The following is a 10,856-nucleotide window of genomic DNA, read 5'->3' as shown; positions in this document are numbered from 1 at the left end:
GGGAGGCTGAGGCAGGAGAATCGCTTGAACCTGGGAAGCAGAGGTTGCAATGAGCCAAGATTGGGCCATTGCACTCCACCCTGGGTGACAAGAGTGAAACTCTGTCAGACAAAAAGAAAAAGAAAAGAAAAGAAAAAAGAAATGTTTAAAAATCCGCTTAAATAAAATATATGATTAATCCATATAATAAAATCAGGATATTTTAATGTTACAGTATATTCTTAATTATCACCAGAAATTACCTTTTAAAAAAATAACTGACATGAACATGATATTGTGCCACAGGCATAACTAGGTTTAGTTAAACTCTTTCTTCTTAACCTAATAAACTTATAATTCTCGAATGTCCAATCAAATCAAATCTGTTGGTGAGGGGTGGGGGATGAAACAGTATAGTGCAAGAGATCTGTATGACTGTTTGTTCTGATGACCCTATGGAGGGGTCCAAAAGAGGAACAAAAACCATACTGAGAAAGAATGGTAAAGTGGTAAAGAGAAAGAGAAGGAAAAAGAGAAAGCACAAGACTGAGGCCAATAGGGGAAGAAATATTATGAGAAGGTGTAGGGTGGGGGTGGCTGGATGGCTGGGGGACTGAGGAAAGAAGGGGAATAAACTAATACAAAATTATAATGAATTTTTTTCATTGATACAGGGCTTTGTCATTTTCATAGTAATTCTTTAAAACAAACTGTGGAGCTCTAATTGTTCCATTTTGTAGATGAGGCAACTGAAGTCATAGAGAAACTGTGTGATGGCAGTAATGCTGGAGCTGGGACTAAAAGCAGGAGCAATAGATTCCTAGGTTAGTATTGTGGGAGGAAGGATTTTTTCCCCCTTACGGACTGCAGTATAAACCATCTTGTCCAATTGCACTCACAATATTTGCAGTCAAACTGAAAGGTGAGACTTGTGAGTTGGCATACATTAAAAGAGAAAAAGCGATATCTCCACATATTGAAAAAATTTAGAATAAGAAAAAAAAATGCCATAAGAGTACTTTCCAAGACCTTATTTTCTACAATACAGCAAAGTGTACAACTTGACAAATTCTGGAGACCAATGGAGTGGTCTGTGTATGTTCCAAATTAGAGGATGTAGATTTTAAGAGTGCCCATGCAAGAAAAGATTATGAGTGCCTTTGTTGTCTCCATGCTCATTGAAGAGGCAAAAAAAAATTTTTTTTTAGATGGAGTCTCACTCTATTGCCCAGGCTGGAGTGCAATGGTGTGATCTCTGGTCACTGCAACCTCCGCTTCCCAGGTTCAAGCCATTCTCCTGCCTCAGCCTCCCGAGTAGCTGGGATTACAGGCACGTACCACCACGCTCGGCTGTTTTTTGTATTTTTAGTTGAGACGGGGTTTCACCATGTTGGCCAGGCTGATCTCGAACTCCTGACCTCAAGTGATCCACCCACCTTGGCCTCCCAAAGTGCTGGGATTACAGGCGTGAACCACCGCACCCAGCATGATTGTGGGAATGCTCTGGTGTTTTAATGTTCCCTGAGGCACTGGAAAGTTAGATGTTTCTGATGAAAAGCATTAAGCATTTCACTGGTAAAACCTTGAAGTTGCAGGGGGAGAAAAGTTGAATATTTCAGAAATTAAACCACTTTTTTTTTTCACCTATCAAACGATAGTGTTAAAAATGGTTCATTTGGTCAAATTCATTCCTATCATTCCTATCAAGTGCAAACTAATCCAGCAGTACTAATTTGGAGCTGAATTCAAGAGATAAAAATACTATTACGTAACTATTTTCAGTTTATTTATAATAAAATTCCTTAGTAATGCAAGAATAAGGGTTCATTACATAATATATATGATGTATATAGAGAAGTAATCCTAAATATTTGATAAACATACCATCCTTGGAATACATCTAGATTATCCATAGAGCCAATTTTCTCCTGCATAGAGTAGACCACTAAAGAGGAGGGTCTCTAGAGTTTTAAAACATTTCCTAATTTTTTTTTTTCAGTAAATAACTATGCAACCTAATAACCTGGGCTTTGAGGGGCATGGTGGTGACCAAAAAAAGATTCTTGCCCTTAAAATCCTGTTTGCTTTCATTGTTGAGCATCAGGATTCTTCTCAAGTATTGTATAAGAGAAGGGAAAGAGGGCAAGGCAACTTGACCTATAGCCAAATCCTTTTTCTCTTTTTCTCTCTCCCTCCCTCCCTCCCTCTTTCATTTTCTCCCTTCTATCCATTTCAATGATAGCTTTAAGGAAAACAGAACAGACATTTTTGAAAAGGAAAATCACCCACATTCTTGGGTTCAACTACTTACTAGGAATGACTAAGAAATGTACTTAATTTCTCTGATCCTAAGTAACTTTTGTCAAATGGAGATAGTAACAGCACTCATGTCATGAACCAGTTGTGAGAACTGAAGGAAATAATGCAAGTAAAGTGCTTACCACAGTGCCTGGGGTATAGTAAACTCACAATAAACCTCTACCATTCTTTTTTTTTTTTTCTTTTTTTCTGAGACAGAGTCTCACTGTCACCCAGGCTGGAGTGCAGTGGTGCGATCTCAGATCTCGGCTCACTGCAACCTCTGCTTCCTGGGTTCAAGTGATTCTCCTGCCTCAGCCACCTGAGTAGCTGGGACTAGAGGCACCCGCCACCAAGTCTGACTAAGTTTTGTATTTTTAGTAGAGACAGGGTTTCACTATGTTGGCCAGGCTGGTCTCAAACTCCTGACCTCAAGTGACCTCCCAAAGTGCTGGGGTTACAGGCGTGAGCCACCGTGCTGGGCCAACCATTCTTACTGGGGAAAGGCCATTGTCAATCACCCAAATTATGCTTAGTTGGGGATTTAATTGATCTGCCCTGCTTATGAGCTTCAAAGCAATCCCTGCAAAAAAATGCACTATTTTGTTTTTCTGCTGCATAAAAGTAGTGGGAAATGAAAAAGTAAAAAAAAAAAAAAAAAATTAAGTAATGGGAAATGAAAGTTGAAACTGGAATTAATTTCAGATGAAAATGTGTTCTTAGAGTGGTCCCACACTGAAGTGGCTTCTGACATAAAGAAGAGGTCAACAGCAGAGGCCAGTTCAGCCTATGATCACTTGAAGAACACAGTTGAATCTACTGTGGGCTCAAGGTCTACTATTGAAAGTGGCCACTGAGGGATTCTACAATGCCAAAGACTGTGGTCTACCATTGACAGGAACCTGAGAATAGGACCTCAGATGTTTTCAACAATGGTATAACTTTGTATTACAACCAAATACCTAGGGGAGAACTTGGGGTCAGCTGGTTTCCAGTAGAATCTAATTAATACATCCAAAGAAGTATGGCACATTTGGGCTAGATTTAAATAAATTCTGAAATGAATACTCAGGAAAACATTATTCTCACTTAATTTAGATTTCTGTTGGATTTTGGTGAATTTTGGCTCACTAGTGTGCTGGGTGCATTAAATCAAGACACTGTAGTCTGAAATTCATATGCTACAAATAGATAATTATCTTCTTTTGAAGAAAAAGTGCATTTAGTTATGACTCTAATAGTCTTTTCTTTTTTTTAAAAAAAATGGAACCAGTTTGCTAACTTTTTTACCTGAGGGTTCTGATTTCTATTTGAATTCAATTCCAAGTTGTCTAGACATCAGCAGCTTAACCCTGGAGCTTAATCCCACCACTTTCTGAAATTCTTATTGCTGAGGTCAAAATAACTTAGAAAAGTAGCTTTTATGAAAAGTCTAATAAAAAACCAACATTATCTTTATCCTTTAAGTAAGATTCTGTATTTATCTGAAGATCCATATTGTCAAATCACTGGGAAAAGGTATTTAAGAAACTTGGCTGAATTTTGTTTCCTTTATTTGCATTTCTGCCTCCAACCTCCAGCCCCAGCTCTGATTAAATTCATTTTCCTATTCTGATAGATGAGAAGGAAAGTATATATATTTCTCAACTGATAAGATTTTTTTCCATACACATTTCCTTTTACTAAGTTCCAACGATTTCCCTCTACTTATACTTAAAACAAGGCTTCACAGATAACTAAAAAGGCACTTGCTGTTCTTAGAGATGCTCTCATGCAGCTTTTCTTTTTGGTTCACACGAGAAAGCAAATGAGAAACCATTATTATATGATAACCACTATAAAGAAAATAATTACCAATTCTCCTGGGTTTTAGGGTCCATTTTTACTGTATGTAGGGGTAGATGGAGGTGGAAGTGGAGAACTTCATAGGGAGAACACTCAAGTCGACAAAAAGATAAAAATAACCTTAGTGTGAAATTATAATAGCCTTCTTATCATTTCGGTCAAACTGGAACTCAAATTTTCTATGTATTTGTGTGGTTTAGGGAATTAAGGATAATAAAGGGAGAGATATCACTGTATCAATCCAGCTGGGGGCAAAACTACTGTCTTGTAGGATTTTAGTTCCACATACTTTGAATTAAAGTATGTGAATGGGTATTTATTATCAGATGAATACCATTTAATGACAACTATGTTATTAAATTCATACTCAAATATACTTTATTAAATAAATTTGTAAAGTGTTCCATTCAAATTTGTATTTGCATAACAGATTTATATTTATTCTAAGAGTTTGTTTTTAGACTTTAGTTCAGTTATAAAACACTTTTTTCTATTTAAGATTGAATCTGGCCGGGCGCGGTGACTCACACCTGTAATCCCAGCACTTTGGGAGGCCGAGGCCGGCGGATCACGAGGTCAAGAGTTCGAGACCATCCTGGCTAACATGGTGAAACCCTGTCTCTACTAAAAATACAAAAATTAGCCGGGCGTGGTGGTGGGTGCCTGTAGTCCCAGCTACTGGTGAGGCTGAGGCAGGAGAATGGCGTGAACCCAAGAGGTGGAGCTTGCAGTGAGCCGAGATCTCGCCACTGCTCTCCAGCCTGGGCGACAGTGCGAGACTCCATCTAAAAAAAAAAAAAAATAATAGATTGACTCTAAGGACTGGGTATCAATGAAAAAAGGTTTAAATGCCTGAAAAGATGCCTTTTTCTCTTTTGGCGCCTTCTCTATTGTATTAATTCCAATTTCTATATGAGCATTTAGAGACACTAATAATGTTGATATTGAATGAATTCATATGTTCTTTGCATGTTCTCATTTTTTTGTTCCAATTAGTATAAGATTAGGGATACTTTCAAAGGTAGTGGTCTGAAAATACTGATTCAATTTTGATATTTGCCTGCACACTTTTAAAAGTAACATATTTTTGGTAAAATGTAATCTGCTTTTCACTCGTCTAATAATAACTTTATTTTTGCTTAGAACTTAACTATTGTGTCAGGCTAGGCTAAACCTCGGGTAGGTCTCAATATTCAATATTTTATATTTTAGTCAGGCATGGCGGCTCATGCCTGTAATCTCAGCACTTTGGGAGGCCAAGGCAGGAGGATCAGTTGAGCCCTGGGGTTTGAGACCAGCCTGGGCAACATAGCGAGACCCTGTCTCTACAAAAAAATACAAAAATTAGCTGGGCATGGTGGCGTGTGCCTATAGTCCAAGCTGCTCGGAAAGCTGGGGTGGGAGGATTGCTCGAGCCTGGGAGGTTGAGGCTGCAGTGAGCTGTGATCACACCACTGCACTCCAGCCTGGGCGACAGAGGAAGACCCTGTCTCAAAAAAAAAAAAAAAAACATATGTTACATTTAATCACATTATCTTTAATGGTTGTAGTTCACCAATTCCCCCAAAATAATTTAATAGCATTTTTCTGCTTGCCCCAAAATTAAGGCCTCATTCACTCATTGTTTCATTGTGATTTGATGTTAGAAGAAGTTGCGTGTTTTCACTGACTTTAAGTGTGATGGACATCTCAAAACCTTATTTTAACTATTTTTTTCCAATAAAATAATGACACCAAAATTTGTTTGTCAATGTAGAGTTTTGTGTGTAACTTTCAACAGACAATTGATTACTCATTCATTCCCAACCCTTGTGTTGTTTGTTGGCTACCTGAGATAGTTAAATTGAATAGTGCAAAGAAAGAAGCAATGGCCCCTGATCTGCCTGCTTATTCTTAACAAGCTGTTTGGATATCTAGGAAATGATTTCACTCAAATTCTCTCACTTCACTTCAAATTGCCTTTCCTATAAATACTTTGTTGCCTAAAGTATCCTAATAAGTTCTTACTAACTCTAGATCCACAGAACAGTGGCTCTCGGAATGTGCTCCCTAGGCTAGCAGTATCCACATCATCTAGGAATTCACCTGAAATGCAAACTCTAAGGCTCTTCCCTGAAATTCTTGAAACAGAAACTCCAGGGGAAGGGTTTGGCAATTTGAGTTTTAATAAGCCATCCATGTTTGAGAATCACTATCAGACCTTATGCCTCTTATTATCTATATTGCATAGCATGGTCTCTATAGAGGAAAGGAACTCAATATCTCACACAGTGAGAAATTGTACTAATGAATTCAATTCTTATATTCATTATTTTTTTGCCACAAGACTTTGCAGTTCCTCTTATTAAAGAGGTATACTTTATTTTCCCACCCCTTCGATTGGTACTGGTCTTATGACTTGCTTTTGGCTTACGGTATATGGTGAAAATGATTGTGTACCAGTCCTGAGCTTAGACCTCAAGAGCCCTGGCATATTTCCACTTGCTTTCTTTTGTACCTTAGCCATTACTATAAGAATATGCCTGGATTAACCTTCTGCATTATGAGAAACACAGACCTAAGCCAAGTTGCTCCAATCGTCCAAGCTGAGGACAGCTTATATCAACCAACAGACAGCTGATCCTCTGACAATGTCAGGATAAATGGGTTCTTGCACTTTTTCCCCCAACGGGGACAAGATCAGCAGGTAACTCTAGACACGTGAGCAATCAACACTTAATTGTTGTAGGCCACTGAGGTTTTGCGTTGTTATGAAGTGTTATTGTGGTAAGAGTTAACTGTTACGTACAATGAATTGAGAAATCTAAACTTCTACCCTTTGTCTGGCCCAGTCTTCCCCAGACTTGGTCCAAACACCTGCTCCTTACTCCCCTCAGCTAACAGGGTCTGACCTAACCTTGCATGCTAGATTCACAGATAATTTTTTTTGCAATACCCTTCCAGGAACATCCTGGACACAATTTTTATTTTTATTTTCCAGAGTGAGATAGATGTCAGTTGATTGCCATTGTGGAGAACCGGATGTTTTAAACTCATGAAAGACATGAAGAAAGTGCATCTAACTCAATATTATTTTGACACTTTCAGTGATCTAAAAATATCAGAACATAATTCATGAAGAAGCAATACAAGCCAAGCACCATGGAATAGAGACTTCCTTACTTAAGTTTACATTAATCAAAATGGCTCCCATATTGTGACGATTCCCTGGTCTAACTTTTTGTTGAGAGGCAAATTGAGATTTGGCTATAACTCTTTAGCTAATTTTCAAGATACGTGATAATTTTTAAGTTTTGATCACTGTGACTTAGCTTTTTTCCATTCAGCTTTCTTGGTCTTCTGACAGTCAAATCTGCTGAACTGAAATCTGTCTTCTTCCTGAATAATACTTTTCAAATTATAACAATGACATATCTTGAATAGTACCTTATGAGGCAGACAGAAATGCATTTTATCCAGCTTTCACCTCACATTCAGAGAGACATCTATTTTCTAATTAAACTCTACATTTATCTTTTCTAAGATTGACAGAGCTCGTCATTACAGATTGAATATTTATTATGAAATTGTATCAATTTCTGCAGTTTTTAGAGCACCAGGTACAGGGCACTGCACAGAAGTATGTTTTGATGATAATTTAAATCCCATTGTTCTTTTTTCTTAAGTTTGAATTACTCGCTAAATGGTATGCTAATTGCCTTAACGAGTTCTTGGAGTTTCTAAAGGCACAGAACTTTCTTCTAAGTTGCAGTGGAAACCCTAGAAAAATTAAGTTCATTGTAAGGCAATAGTTCTTAGCCTTTTGAGATGAACAGCAGTCACTCAGATGGCTAAAAGTTCAGATGTCTTGGCTCCACTTCCGGAGATTCTGATTTAGTAGGTTTTGAGGTAGGTTCAGAAATCTGCTTTGCAATCATCAACCCAGGTATGTGTTACATATTAAAGTTTTAAAACACTTATTCATAGGGTTCTGATATATCTGTTCCATGATCCATACTTAAAAAAAAATACTAGTATATCGCAAGTAGCTATTCAGAACCTAACATTTTATAAAAGAATAATCATATGCTTTTTTAAAAAAATCAAATCATCTTCTTAACAATGTGGTGTAGTACCTTATGTAACACAAATAATATAAATGAGATCATCAACAATTTTAGGAAGGTCAGGTCTATGTTGGGAGACACTGAGGCTAGGAAGGTGATGCAATTCACAATGTATTTACAATTTTATGTCTCAGAGCACATATGCCTGATGAGTAATATATGTAAAAACACTTTTAAGTTTTAAAATACTTTAGAAATATAAGAAATATTCTTTTGAATATATAGAACAGGAACTTAGAAGTAATTTCTTTATCATTAAAATTTTTTATCTGTGGGTGCCCTTGATATGGACAAGGCAAAGGTGGTGCCGATGGTGAGTGAGATATTAAACAACAATAATTATTGAGAAATAGAACTGAATGTCTTTCTAAGTTATGTGCCAGTATGGATCTAAGATAGCTGTGAAATGATGAATAGTCTGAGGCACTTACTTTCAAAAAAAAATTCTGCAAACATCATACCAAATATTGTTGAGAATCCTTGATACCCAGATATCTATTGGATGACAAGGACGGAACTGTCTATAAAGAACCTCAGGAGAAAAGATGATATAACACATGAAAAGAAAGTCTACAGAAATAAATTTCATATTAGGTGGCTATTATAAACCAAGTTTGAGATGATGGACATGAAAATGCTTTGATCACTATGTAGTACTACAAAAATTGGGGATGGCTCTAATGATAAATTATAACATTCAAAAACTTCGCCTAAGATTTGTACTTAACTTGCCGTTATAGTGTTCATTGATATCCAACGGAGCCACCCTATCATTGACAACGGTGGCATTCTGGAAAGTTTGCCCCTTCAGAATGATTTCCTTTTATTTATAGGAATATACCATTGTACTGTATTGAGGCTGATTCTTAGTACACTCTTAAAGTGTGCCTGAATATCCAATGTGTGCCAAATCTCAGAATAACAGGAATAAGGAGGCAATTATCTATTTGGGGTCATGGCTCACACTTTTCTCTTGGGCCCATACCCTATCGGATTGGGTAGAAGAGAGCACTAGGTGAAATCAGAATAATGGATTTTAAGGAGCAGTAATGCTTCTACTTCTTTATAATTCTCCAATTCTAGCAGCAAGCACGCATATTTTAAAAAATCTGAAATATGAAGATTTTAACATTTCACTTCCTTACATTGATGCTTAATGTCACCAGAATGTTAAGATAAACCTTTGAAGTAATGAAAACAGAGAAAAGAAGCCTCTGTATGGTTTTGGGGAATTGTTTCCTAAATGAGATTGTATTATTTGATAAAATGCAGCCAAAATGTGAATAATTAAAATCTTATCATTAAGGTAATTATAATAAAACTAAGAAAATATTGCCAGCACAAAACGGAAGGGTACAAAAATGTGTCAGGTATACTGGATTACCAAGGATTTCTTTTCAGTCTTTAACTCATGAAGTAAACAGGAACAATGTGCATTTGACGTAAGCATGGGGCATAGGCTTAAACTAGATCATTCTTTAATAGATGAAACTAGACCCCCTTTTGTTCTCCTTCAATTTTTCTGTAAAGCCATTCACTTAGTTATCCATTTGGCGCCTACTATGTGCCAAGCACTAGTCTAAGTGCTAGGGATACAACTGAGAACTAGACTAGCACTAGCAGGTGGCACTGACATGAGGAATTACACTCTAATACATTCTTTTGCATTGGATGCTAAAGAATAACTATGGTAGTTGTGGAGATATACACTGGCAACACCAGAATTTTTGGTATGACTATGTAATACCCAGGATTGAGGCGTCAGTATTGTAGCAAAAGTGTACTAGCATACATTGACTCTGGGCTTGGCCATATGACTTGCCTATTCAATGGGATATTAACAAACAGAACACAAGCAGAGGTTTGAAAGGTGTATTTTTATTTGAGCTTGCCTTCTGCTGTTCTTGGAACCTGAGTCTACCATGTGAAGAAGTCTAGGCTAGTATATTGAAAGATGAATCACCACATGGAAAAGTCTGTTGCAGAGATGAGCCATCGCAGCTGAGGTGCACTAGATGAACTAGCCTGACAACCACCAGACACATGTGTGAGGCCATCCTAGGACATTCAGCTTCAACAAAGCCTCCAGCTAATTGCAGAGATCTGGCAAGACAGCTAGGATCAGAACTGCCCAGAAGCCTCACAGACTTGTGAGGAAAAAAATACATGCTTATTGTTTTAAGCCACTAAGTTTTCATCATGCATCGAAAGCTGACACGGGATATCCATATGCAAAGGAATGAAGTTGAAACATTAAACATGCCATATACAAAAATTAACTCAATATGGATCATAGACCTAAATGGAAGAGCTGAAACTTTAAACTCTTAGAATTAAAAATAGATATAAATCTTTGTGACTTTGGATTGGGCAATGATTTCTTAGATATGACATCAAAAGCATAAGCAACATAAGAAAAAAATAGAAAAAACTTGGTATCCTTAATATAAGGAGATGTGCTTCTTTGGGGGACCATTACTACAGAATCTAGCCCACTCACTTTCTAGTTATGTGACATTAGGCAAGTCACTTACCTCACTGAGCTTCATTTTCTTTATCAGTAAAACACAGATACCTTTATATCATAAGGTTCTTGTAAAGATTAATGATTATATTTTAAATTCTTAA

Source organism: Homo sapiens, chromosome X (genome assembly GCF_000001405.40).
Source record: "Homo sapiens chromosome X, GRCh38.p14 Primary Assembly".
Taxonomy (NCBI): Eukaryota; Metazoa; Chordata; class Mammalia; order Primates; family Hominidae; genus Homo; species Homo sapiens.
Note: the sequence above shows the minus strand (reverse complement) of the source record.